Consider the following 15,894-nt stretch of genomic DNA (forward strand, 5'->3'; position numbering starts at 1 on the left):
GTCTTCCATCAGATAGCATTTGGAGAGCTGGGGGTGTCACAGTGAACCACGACCTCTAGGCCAGTGGGAGAGTCAGTCACACAAACTGTGAGTCCATGACTTGGGGCTTAGCCAGCACCCACCACCCCACGCGCCACCCCACAACCCCGGGTAGAGGAGTCTGAATCTGGAGCCGCCCCCAGCCCAGCCCCGTGCTTTTTGCGTCCTGGTGTTTATTCCTTCCCGGTGCCTGTCACTCAAGCACACTAGTGACTATCGCCAGAGGGAAAGGGAGCTGCAGGAAGCGAGGCTGGAGAGCAGGAGGGGCTCTGCGCAGAAATTCTTTTGAGTTCCTATGGGCCAGGGCGTCCGGGTGCGCGCATTCCTCTCCGCCCCAGGATTGGGCGAAGCCTCCCGGCTCGCACTCGCTCGCCCGTGTGTTCCCCGATCCCGCTGGAGTCGATGCGCGTCCAGCGCGTGCCAGGCCGGGGCGGGGGTGCGGGCTGACTTTCTCCCTCGCTAGGGACGCTCCGGCGCCCGAAAGGAAAGGGTGGCGCTGCGCTCCGGGGTGCACGAGCCGACAGCGCCCGACCCCAACGGGCCGGCCCCGCCAGCGCCGCTACCGCCCTGCCCCCGGGCGAGCGGGATGGGCGGGAGTGGAGTGGCGGGTGGAGGGTGGAGACGTCCTGGCCCCCGCCCCGCGTGCACCCCCAGGGGAGGCCGAGCCCGCCGCCCGGCCCCGCGCAGGCCCCGCCCGGGACTCCCCTGCGGTCCAGGCCGCGCCCCGGGCTCCGCGCCAGCCAATGAGCGCCGCCCGGCCGGGCGTGCCCCCGCGCCCCAAGCATAAACCCTGGCGCGCTCGCGGCCCGGCACTCTTCTGGTCCCCACAGACTCAGAGAGAACCCACCATGGTGCTGTCTCCTGCCGACAAGACCAACGTCAAGGCCGCCTGGGGTAAGGTCGGCGCGCACGCTGGCGAGTATGGTGCGGAGGCCCTGGAGAGGTGAGGCTCCCTCCCCTGCTCCGACCCGGGCTCCTCGCCCGCCCGGACCCACAGGCCACCCTCAACCGTCCTGGCCCCGGACCCAAACCCCACCCCTCACTCTGCTTCTCCCCGCAGGATGTTCCTGTCCTTCCCCACCACCAAGACCTACTTCCCGCACTTCGACCTGAGCCACGGCTCTGCCCAGGTTAAGGGCCACGGCAAGAAGGTGGCCGACGCGCTGACCAACGCCGTGGCGCACGTGGACGACATGCCCAACGCGCTGTCCGCCCTGAGCGACCTGCACGCGCACAAGCTTCGGGTGGACCCGGTCAACTTCAAGGTGAGCGGCGGGCCGGGAGCGATCTGGGTCGAGGGGCGAGATGGCGCCTTCCTCGCAGGGCAGAGGATCACGCGGGTTGCGGGAGGTGTAGCGCAGGCGGCGGCTGCGGGCCTGGGCCCTCGGCCCCACTGACCCTCTTCTCTGCACAGCTCCTAAGCCACTGCCTGCTGGTGACCCTGGCCGCCCACCTCCCCGCCGAGTTCACCCCTGCGGTGCACGCCTCCCTGGACAAGTTCCTGGCTTCTGTGAGCACCGTGCTGACCTCCAAATACCGTTAAGCTGGAGCCTCGGTGGCCATGCTTCTTGCCCCTTGGGCCTCCCCCCAGCCCCTCCTCCCCTTCCTGCACCCGTACCCCCGTGGTCTTTGAATAAAGTCTGAGTGGGCGGCAGCCTGTGTGTGCCTGAGTTTTTTCCCTCAGCAAACGTGCCAGGCATGGGCGTGGACAGCAGCTGGGACACACATGGCTAGAACCTCTCTGCAGCTGGATAGGGTAGGAAAAGGCAGGGGCGGGAGGAGGGGATGGAGGAGGGAAAGTGGAGCCACCGCGAAGTCCAGCTGGAAAAACGCTGGACCCTAGAGTGCTTTGAGGATGCATTTGCTCTTTCCCGAGTTTTATTCCCAGACTTTTCAGATTCAATGCAGGTTTGCTGAAATAATGAATTTATCCATCTTTACGTTTCTGGGCACTCTTGTGCCAAGAACTGGCTGGCTTTCTGCCTGGGACGTCACTGGTTTCCCAGAGGTCCTCCCACATATGGGTGGTGGGTAGGTCAGAGAAGTCCCACTCCAGCATGGCTGCATTGATCCCCCATCGTTCCCACTAGTCTCCGTAAAACCTCCCAGATACAGGCACAGTCTAGATGAAATCAGGGGTGCGGGGTGCAACTGCAGGCCCCAGGCAATTCAATAGGGGCTCTACTTTCACCCCCAGGTCACCCCAGAATGCTCACACACCAGACACTGACGCCCTGGGGCTGTCAAGATCAGGCGTTTGTCTCTGGGCCCAGCTCAGGGCCCAGCTCAGCACCCACTCAGCTCCCCTGAGGCTGGGGAGCCTGTCCCATTGCGACTGGAGAGGAGAGCGGGGCCACAGAGGCCTGGCTAGAAGGTCCCTTCTCCCTGGTGTGTGTTTTCTCTCTGCTGAGCAGGCTTGCAGTGCCTGGGGTATCAGAGGGAGGGTTCCCGGAGCTGGTAGCCATAAAGCCCTGGCCCTCAACTGATAGGAATATCTTTTATTCCCTGAGCCCATGAATCACCCTTGGTAAACACCTATGGCAGGCCCTCTGCCTGCGTTTGTGATGTCCTTCCCGCAGCCTGTGGGTACAGTATCAACTGTCAGGAAGACGGTGTCTTCGTTATTTCATCAGGAAGAATGGAGGTCTGACCTAAAGGTAGAAATATGTCAAATGTACAGCAGAGGGCTGGTTGGAGTGCAGCGCTTTTTACAATTAATTGATCAGAACCAGTTATAAATTTATCATTTCCTTCTCCACTCCTGCTGCTTCAGTTGACTAAGCCTAAGAAAAAATTATAAAAATTGGCCGGGCGCGGTGGCTCACACCTGTAATTGCAGCACTTTGCCAGGCTTAGGCAGGTGGATCACCTGAAGTCAGGGGTTCGAGACCAGCCTAGCCAACATAGTGAAACCCTGTCTCTACTAAAAAGACAAAAATTGTCCAGGTGTGATGACTCATGCCTGTAAACCTGGCACTTTGGGAGGCGGAGGTTGTAGTGAGTCAAGATCGCGCCATCGCACTCCAGCTTGGGCAACAAGAGCGAAACTCTGTCTCAAAAAAAAATTTAATCTAATTTAATTTAATTTAAAAATTAGCACGGTGGTTGGGCACAGTGGCTCACGCCTGTAATCCCAGCACTTTGGGAAGCCAAGGTGGGCAGATCACAAGGTCAGGAATTCGAGACCAGCCTGGCCAATATGGGGAAACCCCATCTCTACTAAAAATACAAAAAATTAGCCGGGTGTGGTGGCGCACGCCTGTAATCCCAGCTACTCGGGAGGTTGAGGTAGGAGAATCACTTGAACCCAGGAGGCAGAGGTTGCAGTGACCCGAGATCACACCATTGCACTCTAGCCTGGGCAACAAGAGCAAAACTCCATCTCAAAAAAAATTATAAAAATTATACATCAGTAGATGAATGGGTAAACAAAATGTGGTGGTCTATACACACAATGGAATATTATTTGGCCACAAAAAGAAATGAAGCACTGATAGGATGTAGCTGCACCCTGAAAATATTTGACAAGTAAAAGAAGCCGGACACCAAAGGTCACAAACTGCATGACCCCATCTATATGCAATATCCGCTACAGCCAAATCCATAGGGACCAAAAGCGGATTAGTGGCTGCCGGGGCCAGAGTTACTGTTAATGAGTACCGAGGTGGCGTTTGGGATGATGAAAAAGTTCTGACCTAGATAGTGGTGATGGCTGCATAACACTAAGTGTTCTTAATATCACCAAATTTTATACCTGAAAAATGGCTACAATGGTAATTTATGTCTATTTTATCACCTTTTTTAAAACAAAAAAGATATAAGGGGTACAGCAGAGTGAGTGCTGCATATGCATTTACTATTATTCTTGGGTTACATCCCAGGTACTCAATAAATGTTCACTGCCCTGAAGAAACACCTGCTACGAGTCAGGCACCTCACAGTTGTTATCCGTTTAATTCTCACAATCTGAGAAGAAACTGTCACCCTCATTTTATATAATAAATGAGAAAACAGACTCGGGCAAGTGTCACAATAGAATCAAGAGGCAGAATAAACTGACTTCCAATGCCAAATCCATGCCGAAATTCAGTGCTATAATAATGTACATGGCCGGGCGCGGTGGTTCACGCCTGTAATCCCAGAACTTTGGGAGGCTGAGGCGGGAGGATCACCTGAGGTCGGGAGTTTGAGATCAGCCTAACACGGTGAAACCCTGTCTCTACTAAAAATACAAAATTGGCATGGTGGCATGCACCTGTGATCCCAGTTACTCGGGAGGCTGAGGCAGGAGAATCGTTTGAACCCGGGAGGCGGAGGTTGCAGTGAGCCGGAATGGCGCCACTGCACTCACCGCACCCGGCCAATTTTTGTGTTTTTAGTAGAGACTAAATACCATATAGTGAACACCTAAGACGGGGGGCCTTGGATCCAGGGCGATTCAGAGGGCCCCGGTCGGAGCTGTCGGAGATTGAGCGCGCGCGGTCCCGGGATCTCCGACGAGGCCCTGGACCCCCGGGCGGCGAAGCTGCGGCGCGGCGCCCCCTGGAGGCCGCGGGACCCCTGGCCGGTCCGCGCAGGCGCAGCGGGGTCGCAGGGCGCGGCGGGTTCCAGCGCGGGGATGGCGCTGTCCGCGGAGGACCGGGCGCTGGTGCGCGCCCTGTGGAAGAAGCTGGGCAGCAACGTCGGCGTCTACACGACAGAGGCCCTGGAAAGGTGCGGCAGGCTGGGCGCCCCCGCCCCCAGGGGCCCTCCCTCCCCAAGCCCCCCGGACGCGCCTCACCCACGTTCCTCTCGCAGGACCTTCCTGGCTTTCCCCGCCACGAAGACCTACTTCTCCCACCTGGACCTGAGCCCCGGCTCCTCACAAGTCAGAGCCCACGGCCAGAAGGTGGCGGACGCGCTGAGCCTCGCCGTGGAGCGCCTGGACGACCTACCCCACGCGCTGTCCGCGCTGAGCCACCTGCACGCGTGCCAGCTGCGAGTGGACCCGGCCAGCTTCCAGGTGAGCGGCTGCCGTGCTGGGCCCCTGTCCCCGGGAGGGCCCCGGCGGGGTGGGTGCGGGGGGCGTGCGGGGCGGGTGCAGGCGAGTGAGCCTTGAGCGCTCGCCGCAGCTCCTGGGCCACTGCCTGCTGGTAACCCTCGCCCGGCACTACCCCGGAGACTTCAGCCCCGCGCTGCAGGCGTCGCTGGACAAGTTCCTGAGCCACGTTATCTCGGCGCTGGTTTCCGAGTACCGCTGAACTGTGGGTGGGTGGCCGCGGGATCCCCAGGCGACCTTCCCCGTGTTTGAGTAAAGCCTCTCCCAGGAGCAGCCTTCTTGCCGTGCTCTCTCGAGGTCAGGACGCGAGAGGAAGGCGCCGCCCCTCCCCAAGGAAAGGCGAGGGCCTGGGGCACACCCCCAGTGCCCAGATCCAGGCGCGCCTCTTTCCACCTCCAGCAGGTTTGGGGCCTCGGCCATGGGGGCACCGAACTGCGTGCAGCCTGACCCTCCCGAATGGGGTGGTAGGTGAGGGCCGCGGGACGCCCCGGGCGGCGGGCTGCGAGGACGGCCGACTCTGCCCATCCCGAGGGCGGCTGGCTTCGCCCTCCCCACTCTGCGCCGAGCACGCGGCCCGGACCCACCGCGAGAACTCCGCACCTGCAGCGTGAACGCACGCGGGCGGCGTTAAGGGCCCGGGGCTGACTCGGAGCAGGTTAGGGAACAGCGCCCCCTCCCGGCGCGAGCCGGTACCTGCGCAGCACCCAGCCGCCGCGGCTGTGGCCTGGAATCGGGGACCTGGGGTGCCGGGGGGTTGTGGTGAAGGAGGTGGGACCAGCCCCAGCACCTAGCCACGTAGCTGGCGAGGTGGACCAGGAACCGACCCAGACCCCTGCCGTCACCCGACATCACTACGGAGAGTGAAGCTTTTTTATATTTGTCCACATAAAACCAATCATGGTCATTGTAGAACTTCCGAAAACAAGGCTTGCTGCACCTTCCTGTGTATCCCAGGTCCAGGAATGGGTGCAGCACATCCTTCAGCTGCCGCTTGACACGCGGCAAACTGTGTCATGTGTAAACAAGAACAGGACATGGCTGTCATATCCAAGAGCACATGTGTAACACAGACATGCCACACACACACACACACACACACGGGGTAGAGGCAGGCCTCATCCACACCCCTAACATTTGATGCGTAGCTGTTCCAGTCTTCTAGGCACATGTAGAGATGCTTTTCCTCAGAAATGGTATTCTCAAGGTGACACTGAGGAAAAGTGGACAGGCCGGGCGCGGTGGCTCACGCCTGTAATCCCAGCACTCCGGGAGGCCGAGGCGGGCGGATCACGAGGTCAGGAGATCGAGACCATCCTGGCTAACACTGTGAAACCCCGTCTCTACTAAAAATACAAAAAAATAGCTGGGGGTGGTGGCGGGCGCCTGCATTCCCAGCTACTCGGGAGGCTGCGGCAGGAGAATGGCGTGAACCCCGGAGGCGGAGCCTGCAGTGAGCCAAGATTGCGCCACTGCACTCCAGCCTGGGCGACAGAGTGAGACTCCGTCTCAGAAAAAATAAAAATAAAAATAAAAATTAGCTGGGTGTGGTGCGGGCGCCTGTAATCCCAACTTCAGGAGGCTGAGGCAGGAGGATGGCTTGAACCCGGGAGGCGGAGGTTGCGGTGAGCCGAGATCACACCATTGCACTCCAGCCTGAGCGACAGAGCGAGACTCCGTCTCAAAAAAAAAAAAAAGAGGAGGGGGCGGGGGGAAGAGCCAGAGAAAATATTTGCTACATGTGGCAGATAAAGGTTATTATCTCTACTACATTAGATCTCCGGGCGGGGCATGGTGGCTCACGCCTGTAATCCCAGCACTTTGGGAAGCAGAGGCCGGTAGATCACCTGAGGTCAGGAGTTTAAGACCAGCCTGGCCAACATGGTGAAACCCCGTTTCTACTAAAAATATAAAAACTAACTGGGTGTGGTGGTGCATGCCTGTACTCCCAGCTACTCGGGAGGCTGAGACAGGAGAATCACTTGAACCAGAGTCGGAGGTTGGAGTGAGCTGAGATTGCACCACTGCACTCCAGCTTTGCGACAGAGCGAGACTGTCTCAAACAAAAAAAAAAAAAAAGAAAAGAAAAAATCTGGCCCCTAGCCCACCCGTGAGCCCCCTCTTGGATCCACGTTCTAGTTTCTATCCTTGGGGTAGCTCGAGTCAGTCTCACCTCAATCATCCTGTGTGCTCCCAGAGCACAGGACCTGCGGCTGCTGCAACTTCGCGCACAGGAGCAAGCACTTGGAGCCCAGGAGGCTCAGGGGCCCTGAGGAAGCACCAGGCTCTCAGACTCCTGTAACTAGGTGTGGACACCCTCCTGGGATTACATCTGGAGCATCACTGAAGGTGGAAGAGCCAGACCGCATCCTCCCTGGAGATGTGGAGGTTGGAGGGAGCTGGCCCTGGCTCAAGGGCTCAGCCCACTTGGTACAGAACCTACCCAGAGGTGCAGATCCAAGGGAGCAGGGGGAGCAGCTGTGGGCCCTCCACACTGTTGGGGAGACTCATGCCCACTCAAGTCCAGGGGAATTTGCACTCTGCCTTTTTTTTTTTTTTTTTTTTTTGAGATGGAGTCTTGCTCTGTCACCCAGGCTGGAGTGCAGTGGTGCAATCTCAACTCGCTGCAATCTCCACCTCCCGGGTTCAAGCGAATCTCCTGCCTCAGCCTCCTGAGTAGCTGGGATTACAGGTGCCTGCCACGCCTGGCTCATTTTTATATTTTTAGTAGAGACGGGGTTTCACCATGTTGGCCAGGATGGTCTCAATTTCTTAACCTTGTGATCCACCTGCCTTGGCCTCCCAAAGTGCTGGGATTGCAGATGTAAGCCACCGCGCCTGGCCATACTCTGCCTTTTCAAAGCCACTCCTACACAGGTGGTGGTGAAGGCTGCACAACAATGTAGATACACGTCGTGCCACTGAACTGTACACTGAAAAACTGTTATAACGGCACGTTTTGTGTGCACTTTACTATAATAAAAAATGTTCCATCCTGGCTGGGCGCGGTGGCTCACGCCTATAATCCCAGCACTTTGGGAGGCCGAGGCGGGCAAATCATAAGGTCACGAGATTGAGACCATCCTGGCTAACACAGTGCAACCCCGTCTCTACTAAAAAAAACACACAAAAAATTGGCCGGGCGTGATAGCGGGCGCCTGTAGTCCCAGCTATTCGGGAGGCTGAGGCAGGAGAATGGCGTGAACCAGGGAGGCGGAGCTTGCAGTGAGCCGAGTTTGCGCCACTGCATTCTAGCCTGGGTGACAAAAGCGAGACTCCGTCTCAAAAAAAAAAAAAAAAAAGTTCCATCCTGGCCAACGTGGTTCTGGCTCCAGGCTGCCACCCCTCCCCCAAAGGATGCCACCCCAGATAGGGGTCCTCGGCCTGCTCCAGCACCTGCCTGTCCCATGACGGCTGCACACTGGGGTAGGAAACGGCCTCCGCATCCTCCTCTCCTCCCCCCAGGACTACCCTTAACCCACTCAGGGCTTCGGTCAAGGCCCATGCGCTCCCCAAGCCCAAGGTAACCCTGTGCAGGAGGCAAAGGTGGTACAAGGCACAGCCCATCCAGCTAGTTTGGCGCCGACAGCACCCACCAAACAGAGCCATTTACCTTTAAAAAAATCACTGCCAGCTGTGGTGACACACCTGTAATCCTAGTGCTTTGAGAGGCTGAGGTGGGAAGACTGCTTGAGCCCAGGAGTTCCCAAGAATATCCTGAGCAACATAGTGAGACCTGTCTCCACAAAAACATAAAAAATTAGCCAAGTGTGGTAGTGCACACCTATGTCCCAGTTACTTGGAGGCTGGGGCAGGAGGATCACTTAAGTCCAGGAGTTCAAGGCTGCAGTAAGCCATGACTACAACACTGCACTCCAGCATGGGTGACAAAGCAAGCATCGTCTCAAAAAAAATAAATAAATAATTTTGGCCAGGTGCCGTGGCTTACGCCTGTGATCCCAGCACTTTGGGAGGTCAAGGCGGGTGGATCACGAGGTCAGGAGTCCAAGACCAGCCTGGCCAAGATGGTGAAACGTTGTCTCTACTAAAAATACAACAATTAGCCGGGCATGGTGGCGGGCCCCTGTATTCCCAGCTAGTCGGGAGGCTGAGGCAGAGGGTGCAGTGAGCCGAGACTGCATCACCGCGCTCTAGCCTAGGAGACAGAGCGAGACTCCGTCTCAAAAAAAAAAAAAAAAAGTTTTTTTTTAATCGCCAAATGTTCTGGAGAGGCCCCCTTCTCTTCTGTTCTCCTGCAGTCTGGGCTGCAGGCCAAGGTGGTCCCTGTGGGTGGAGACAAGGGCCGGTTCCACCTGACACTACAGACCCCTTCACATGGGAGGGATACACTTCCAGACCCATATATCTCCGAGTAGCCATCTTTGGCGAGATTTACTGGTACTGCAGTGGAAAGGAAGGACTCGCTGTACTGGGTGAAAAAAGTGAAAACATGGGACTCCTATCGCAGACTCTGACAGCAGAACCTGGTGTGGGTTATTTGGGAGGAGGGAGGGAGGAGGGAGAAAGGAAGAGCTGTTGTGGGTGCTATCAGCGAAACTGCACCGGGGGCATGAAGCTCAGTTTGGTCAGCACCACCTGGCAGGTGTACCAAAAGCCCACCCGACTGTCCCTGCACGGTAGAGAGGCAGGAGCGCCTCTCCCTGCACGGATGGTGCCCCGGAGGCTACCAGGGGCGGCCGAGGACACTGATGCTGCATCCCAGGAGGACCTGTCCTTCAGCTGTAATCAGCAGACACGGGGGACAGGATGGCCAGGGGCACAGCACCTTTTCTGTAAACCCCACACCCTGACCCCCCCCACCCAAAAAAGCAAAAAACAACTATTTGTCTACACATACAATTTTATGCCCAGATGGAAAAAGATCCAAATGATTCACAGTGGTGATGGCTCTGAGGGTGACGCTGTCTGCTTAAGGCCCAGGGAAACCCAGGTGCAAACTCACACTCATCACCCAGGCAGCCACAGCCATGAACACAACGTGGGCTTGGGAACAGGGAGCCCAGACCCAACCACTCCCTCCTAGAAGACGAAGAGGAAAGCACATGTGCTGAACAAGTACCCTGAGTCCCACCTGCAGGAAAAGGTGCAGGTAAGGAATACGGACACGGGAGGAATACGGACACGGAGGGAACAGCGACACGGGGGGAACAGCGACACGGGGGGAACAGCGACACGGGGGGAACAGCGACACGGGGGGAACAGCGACACGGGGGGAACAGCGACACGGGGGGAACAGCGACACGGGGGGAACAGCGACACGGGGGGAACAGCGACACGGGGGGAACAGCGACACGGGGGGAACAGCGACACGGGGGGAACAGCGACACGGGGGGAACAGCGACACGGGGGGAACAGCGACACGGGGGGAACAGCGACACGGGGGGAACAGCGACACGGGGGGAACAGCGACACGGGGGGAACAGCGACACGGGGGGAACAGCGACACGGGGGGAACAGCGACACGGGGGGAACAGCGACACGGGGGGAACAGCGACACGGGGGGAACAGCGACACGGGGGGAACAGCGACACGGGGGGAACAGCGACACGGGGGGAACAGCGACACGGGGGGAACAGCGACACGGGGGGAACAGCGACACGGGGGGAACAGCGACACGGGGGGAACAGCGACACGGGGGGAACAGCGACACGGGGGGAACAGCGACACGGGGGGAACAGCGACACGGGGGGAACAGCGACACGGGGGGAACAGCGACACGGGGGGAACAGCGACACGGGGGGAACAGCGACACGGGGGGAACAGCGACACGGGGGGAACAGCGACACGGGGGGAACAGCGACACGGGGGGAACAGCGACACGGGGGGAACAGCGACACGGGGGGAACAGCGACACGGGGGGAACAGCGACACGGGGGGAACAGCGACACGGGGGGAACAGCGACACGGGGGGAACAGCGACACGGGGGGAACAGCGACACGGGGGGAACAGCGACACGGGGGGAACAGCGACACGGGGGGAACAGCGACACGGGGGGAACAGCGACACGGGGGGAACAGCGACACGGGGGGAACAGCGACACGGGGGGAACAGCGACACGGGGGGAACAGCGACACGGGGGGAACAGCGACACGGGGGGAACAGCGACACGGGGGGAACAGCGACACGGGGGGAACAGCGACACGGGGGGAACAGCGACACGGGGGGAACAGCGACACGGGGGGAACAGCGACACGGGGGGAACAGCGACACGGGGGGAACAGCGACACGGGGGGAACAGCGACACGGGGGGAACAGCGACACGGGGGGAACAGCGACACGGGGGGAACAGCGACACGGGGGGAACAGCGACACGGGGGGAATACCAACACGGGAGGAACAGCAACACGCAGGGAATATCGACATGGGTGATGCCTGCAAAGCACAGCATCAATCCCAAGTGACTCCTGTACAGGGCGGCCCCTTCCACCCTCCTTTCCTTGGAGACAGTTGGCTGGGCTAGACCTGTGTCACGGGCTGGCAGAGCAGCCCACCTACCCATCTGTCCTCCTGGAGGGGACAGCCTGTGGCAGGAGAGCCCAGAGCAAGGCCACCAGCTACACTGTGATACCGGTGGCAGAAAGACCCAGACCACAGCGCCCGTGTGCGCCCACTGAGCCAGCCAGCTCAAGGGTGGCATGTGTACCCCTGCAGAAACAGAGCGGATGAGGATGGCTATGTGTTAACAATGTGAACCTCAGGAATTCCCTCCAAAAAATCTCCCACGAAGTGAAAAAGGGAAGGAGCTCCCATCATCTACACATTAGTTAGCAGTTATCCTTTTCAGAAGGGCTTCATTTTGGGTTTTTGGGGGGTTTTTTGAGACAGAGTCTTGCTGTCGTCCAGGCTGGATGCAATCTCGGTTCACTGCAACCTCTGGCTCCCGGGTTCAAACGATTCTCCTGTCTCAGCCTCCCAAGTAGCTGTGATTACAGGTGTCCGCCACCACACCCAGCTAATTTTTGTATATTGGTAGAGACAGGGTTTCACCATGTTGGCCAGGCTGGTCTCGAACTCCTGACCTCAGGTTATCTGCCTCCCAAAGTGCTGGGATTACAAGCGTGAGCCACCGCGTCCCCCTTTACTTTGGTCTTAAAGTACCTGCCTGATGTACAGCAGGTATGTTAGAAAGAACTGAAAGGTGTTGGCCAGGAGCGGTGGCTCACGCCTGTAATCCTAGCACTTTGGGAGGCCGAGGCGGGCAGATCCCGAGGTCAGGAGATCGAGACCATCCTGGCTAACAAGGTGAAACCCCGTTTCTACTAAAAATACAAAAAATTAGCCAGGCAAGGTGGCAGGCACCTGTAGTCCCAGCTACTCTGGAGGCTGAGGCAGGAGAATGGCGTGAACCTGGGAGGCGGAAGTTGCGGTGAGCTGAGATCACGCCACTGCACTCCAGCCTGGGCGACAGAGTGAGATTCCGTCTCAAAAAAAAAAAAAAAAGAACGAACTGAGAGGTGGGAAACATAATCAGCCCACATGGGACATGAGTCAAACCATTTTTTTTTTTTTTTTTTTTTTTTTTTTTTTTGAGATAGGGCTTTCTTGTCACCCAGGCTGGAGTGCAGTGGCGGAATCAAGGTTTGCCTCAGTGTCCTGTGCTCAACAGATCCTCCTGCCTCAGCCTTCTTAGTAGTAGCTGGGACTACAGGCATGTGTCACCATGCCCAGCCCCATGGGTCTTTGTTTTCTGCTAGTAACTTCAAAAGGGGACATGCAGTGTAACTCACCTGAGTCCCAAGTTAAGGCTATGGTAGCAGCTGAGCAGACAAGACAGCTTTTCCTAAATAAATGAATGCAGAATGGGGACCCCTCCCTCCTCCCCATGGGAGATGGGCAGCTCAGACACTCAGAAGGTTGTGTGGGAGCGAGCAAACAAACACCCATGCACACCTGGGTCCCGTCAGTCAGATGCAGGGGACAGGAAGTGCCCTGCCATCTACTGGATGCCAGAAGACAAGACGTGACCCACGAGTAAGTCACGGTTTCTGTGAGGTGCTGGTGGCACTGGCACAGGGTCACAGTGAAAAGCCTCTACGCAGAGGACAGCAGAAACCCCCCGCAGCCTCAGGAGGCAGCATCAGATTTATTTATTCCTACTCAACATGACCCGGGAACACAGGAGCAACTCTGTACACTTCTAGAAACTCACAGCTAGCTCCAAAACAATAGAAATTTTAAACTACAAAAGATGAGTTGTATTCAGCAAATATAAAGGGTAATTTTAGACTGTGTGAACGTTTATCAGACTATTTACAGCACCCGGGAGACGGGTTCAGATCTCGCCGGCCTCCTTCTCTTCTGACCTCCGTGAAGCCATCTTCCCGTTGGAGCTCTCAAGCCTCCAGTCCGGGGGCCCTCGCTCGCTCCGCCCGCTCTCCCAGGACTCCTCTCTGGATGCCCGCTCTCTGGAGAACCTGGGAAATGGGAACCAGAGGCTCAGTGGAGGCTGCTGCCCCCCTTCTGCTGGCCGCTCAGGCACTGACGATGGACCCGCAGACCAGGCCAGGCAAGGCCCTACATCCCCTATACCTGGAAACCCCCCGGAGGCCAACCAGACTTGCCCACCACATATGGAGTGTTAGATAGCCATTAAAAAGTGACCTTTGCGAAGATTTTTAATAAGGAGAGCCTTCACTGTAACATAAACAGTGCAAAGGAGAATACAACACTATATGCACAGAACATGACACTACGTAAAAACACAATGGAAAAAAAAATATCAAAAACAAAAACCAAAACAGAGGTAAGCAGGGCCTGGTCAGGACACAAGTCTCAGCCACTCTGAGCATGGACGCAACAGTGCACAGGCCCCAGGACGCAGGCAGGGGACAGTGCCTGTGCAGCCCATCACCTGGCGCCGTGCGAGCTCCTCCACAGCCCTCTCGCCTCTTCCCACACCTGAGTCCCGTTCACGACTCCCCAGCCCTACTCCTGAGGGTGAGCCCAGCCCCATCCCCACCAGACACGGCCCTCAGCAGACCCTGGGAACACAGAGAAGGGCTCACTCCTGGTTGCAGCTACCGAAGGAGTCAGAGTAGTTACTTGTATTTCGCACTTCGGTCCCGGGAAGCCCGACGATGTCCCCGGCTGTGGCTCCGGGAACGGCTGCGGTGGCGCCGATGTCTATCTCGGGACCGGGACCGGGACAATTTCCGTCGCTCTCGGGAGGTAGATCTTGACCGCCTCCGACGCCGATCCCGGGAGCGTGACCTGAACAATCAGAAGGCTCCAAGGCTGAGACTCTATAGGTGCCAACACTATGAGGGCCCCACCCCTCAGCAGATTCTGCTTGCTGCTTTACTGACATTTTCTCCTTTACTCCCACAAATTTAGGTTTAAAATATTTCCATCAGTTAATCTCCAATGGCTAGGTCCTTCCAATGAGGTCTCCTGAAAACATGTGGCCTGGATACTCCTGTCACCCTGCAGGCCCCGACCTTCCCTCTCATTAACACTGGGAACCCTCCACGGCACCAAGCAACCTCTTGCCCTGTGCCCTTCACAAGCCAGCCCTACCTGCCAGGTAACATTTGTAAAGGCATAATCATTAAATATTAAGAAAAATGCTTATGGAAAAAAAAATTTGAGAACATTTTAATGGACCTGGAAACCTACCTCCTGCGATCTCTGGTTCTTGATCCCGACCTAAAAGGGGGAAAAAAAGATGAACAAGGCCAGGCATGGTGGCTCACACCTGTAATCCCAGCACTTCGGGGAGGCCTAGGCAGGCAATCACCTGAGGTCACGAGCTGGAGACCAGCCTGGACAACGTGGTGAAACCCCGTCTCTACTGAGAACACAAAACCTGGCCAGGCGTGGTGGCGGGTGCCTGTAATCCCAGCTACTCAGGAGACTGAGGCAGGAAAATCACTTTAACCTAGGAGGCAGAGGTTGCAGTGAGCTGAGATTGTGCCACTGCACTCCAGCCTGGGCAACAAGAATAAAACTTTGTCTCAAAAAGAAAAAAAAAAAGTGAATGACTTCCCGAAAGCACCCCTATTCCTCACCCTCTTGGGGGAGGACTCCAAATTTAAGAAGTGAGGCACCTCCCCCAAAGACCTGCTGTTTTCAAGCTGCCTGCATGTTCCCAGTCTGAATGGGAAGTGCCAATGCTCCCATCCCCACAGCCACTCTGTGGCACACTCAGTGTCACCTGAGCCTCACAGACAGGCCCACATCCGAGCATCAGACGCAGCCCTGTAACATTACAAGGGCCGTGAAAAGTCTGTGCACACTGACTGTGCTGCACTCAAGTCCTACAAATGATTCTCCAGTCTTTACAACAGACACCAGCACAGAATGTGCAGACAGCGAGTGGGGCACACCAAAAACACAGAAAAGGAAAAGCAAAGCCCGAAGTTCCAGGCACAGGCTTCCTGTCAGGTGAGAGTCATCAGCTCATTCTGCCACACAACCAAGAGGCTGAAAAAGGCAAGCTATGAGGCCTCATTCTATGCCCGTAAGCCATTAAGGTCAAGTGGCCCCATGTACATCCGCAACACAAATGGCCTAAACATGACAGTGCATGTAAAAATGTAAACTCCATGCAAAAAATGGATTGTGTGTTTTGCTTAATATTTTCTTCTATACTGTTTAAGTTTCTCTCCAATCAGAATCTCCTGCTGGTAAAACAACAAACGGCCGGGCGTGGTGGCTCACGCTTGTAATCCCAGCACTCTGGGAGGCTGAGGCAGGCAGATCATGAGGTCAACAGATCGAGACCAGCCTGGCCAACATGGTGAAACCCTGTCTCTATTAAAAATACAAAAATTAGCTGGGCGTGATGGCACAGGCCTGT

General features: G+C 57.0%; 3 protein-coding genes across 10 annotated transcripts in view, besides 6 other annotated features; 2 read left to right on the plus strand and 1 right to left on the minus strand.

Annotated features, from left to right (window-relative positions):
- Nucleotides 1–1,422: part of a non allelic homologous recombination region, noted in NCBI's record as "Z1 box recombination sub-region I, recombines with the Z2 box recombination sub-region I within the hemoglobin subunit alpha 2 recombination region", that runs on past the window's edge. NCBI's record gives the evidence for it as "EXISTENCE:restriction fragment detection evidence [ECO:0001124][PMID:6091047]".
- Nucleotides 1–1,712: part of a biological region, named in NCBI's record as "hemoglobin subunit alpha 1 recombination region", that runs on past the window's edge. NCBI's record gives its function as "recombination_partner: LOC106804612".
- HBA1 (hemoglobin subunit alpha 1) lies at nt 851–1,693 on the plus strand. The gene is made up of 3 exons (NM_000558.5): nt 851–982; nt 1,100–1,304; nt 1,454–1,693. The coding sequence occupies exons 1-3, from the start codon at nt 888–890 to the stop codon at nt 1,580–1,582; spliced, it is 429 nt and encodes a 142-aa protein (NP_000549.1). The 5' UTR covers nt 851–887; the 3' UTR covers nt 1,583–1,693.
- Nucleotides 1,423–1,598: a non allelic homologous recombination region, noted in NCBI's record as "Z1 box recombination sub-region II, recombines with the Z2 box recombination sub-region II within the hemoglobin subunit alpha 2 recombination region". NCBI's record gives the evidence for it as "EXISTENCE:restriction fragment detection evidence [ECO:0001124][PMID:6091047]".
- Nucleotides 1,629–1,712: a non allelic homologous recombination region, noted in NCBI's record as "Z1 box recombination sub-region III, recombines with the Z2 box recombination sub-region III within the hemoglobin subunit alpha 2 recombination region". NCBI's record gives the evidence for it as "EXISTENCE:restriction fragment detection evidence [ECO:0001124][PMID:6091047]".
- Nucleotides 4,630–5,350, plus strand: HBQ1 (hemoglobin subunit theta 1). The gene is made up of 3 exons (NM_005331.5): nt 4,630–4,752; nt 4,837–5,041; nt 5,151–5,350. The coding sequence occupies exons 1-3, from the start codon at nt 4,658–4,660 to the stop codon at nt 5,277–5,279; spliced, it is 429 nt and encodes a 142-aa protein (NP_005322.1). The 5' UTR covers nt 4,630–4,657; the 3' UTR covers nt 5,280–5,350.
- Nucleotides 5,131–5,390: an enhancer, noted in NCBI's record as "active region_10202". NCBI's record gives its function as "activates an Ori minimal core promoter by ATAC-STARR-seq in GM12878 lymphoblastoid cells {active_cell/tissue: GM12878}" and the evidence as "EXISTENCE:reporter gene assay evidence [ECO:0000049][PMID:35858748]".
- Nucleotides 5,401–5,750: a silencer, noted in NCBI's record as "silent region_6903". NCBI's record gives its function as "represses an Ori minimal core promoter by ATAC-STARR-seq in GM12878 lymphoblastoid cells {active_cell/tissue: GM12878}" and the evidence as "EXISTENCE:reporter gene assay evidence [ECO:0000049][PMID:35858748]".
- LUC7L (LUC7 like) overlaps nt 13,161–15,894 on the minus strand; it is a 40,460-nt gene continuing 37,726 nt past the window's right edge. For 4 of the 8 annotated variants that reach the window (XM_011522561.3, NM_201412.3, XM_005255427.4 and 1 more), the window contains 3 exons: nt 14,712–14,741; nt 14,139–14,306; nt 13,161–13,510 (listed from right to left, as the gene is read on the minus strand). In XM_011522561.3, coding sequence (XP_011520863.1) covers nt 13,369–13,510; nt 14,139–14,306; nt 14,712–14,741 — 340 coding nt within the window. In that variant the 3' untranslated portion in view covers nt 13,161–13,368. Of the gene's footprint in view, nt 14,307–14,711; nt 14,742–15,894 lie in introns of all 8 variants that reach the window. The other 4 variants (NM_001320226.2, NM_001330420.2, NM_018032.5 and 1 more) reach the window with 3 other exon arrangements.

This window comes from Homo sapiens, chromosome 16 (genome assembly GCF_000001405.40).
Source record: "Homo sapiens chromosome 16, GRCh38.p14 Primary Assembly".
Lineage (NCBI taxonomy): Eukaryota > Metazoa > Chordata > Mammalia > Primates > Hominidae > Homo > Homo sapiens.

Coding starts and splice junctions, on each gene's coding strand:
- HBA1 (NM_000558.5), top strand. CDS start 888: ATGGTGCTGTCTCCTGCCGACAAGACCAACGTCAAGGCCGCCTGGGGT. Junction 983..1,099: donor GGTGCGGAGGCCCTGGAGAG/GTGAGGCTCCCT, acceptor TTCTCCCCGCAG/GATGTTCCTGTCCTTCCCCA. Junction 1,305..1,453: donor TGGACCCGGTCAACTTCAAG/GTGAGCGGCGGG, acceptor TTCTCTGCACAG/CTCCTAAGCCACTGCCTGCT.
- HBQ1 (NM_005331.5), top strand. CDS start 4,658: ATGGCGCTGTCCGCGGAGGACCGGGCGCTGGTGCGCGCCCTGTGGAAG. Junction 4,753..4,836: donor ACGACAGAGGCCCTGGAAAG/GTGCGGCAGGCT, acceptor TTCCTCTCGCAG/GACCTTCCTGGCTTTCCCCG. Junction 5,042..5,150: donor TGGACCCGGCCAGCTTCCAG/GTGAGCGGCTGC, acceptor CGCTCGCCGCAG/CTCCTGGGCCACTGCCTGCT.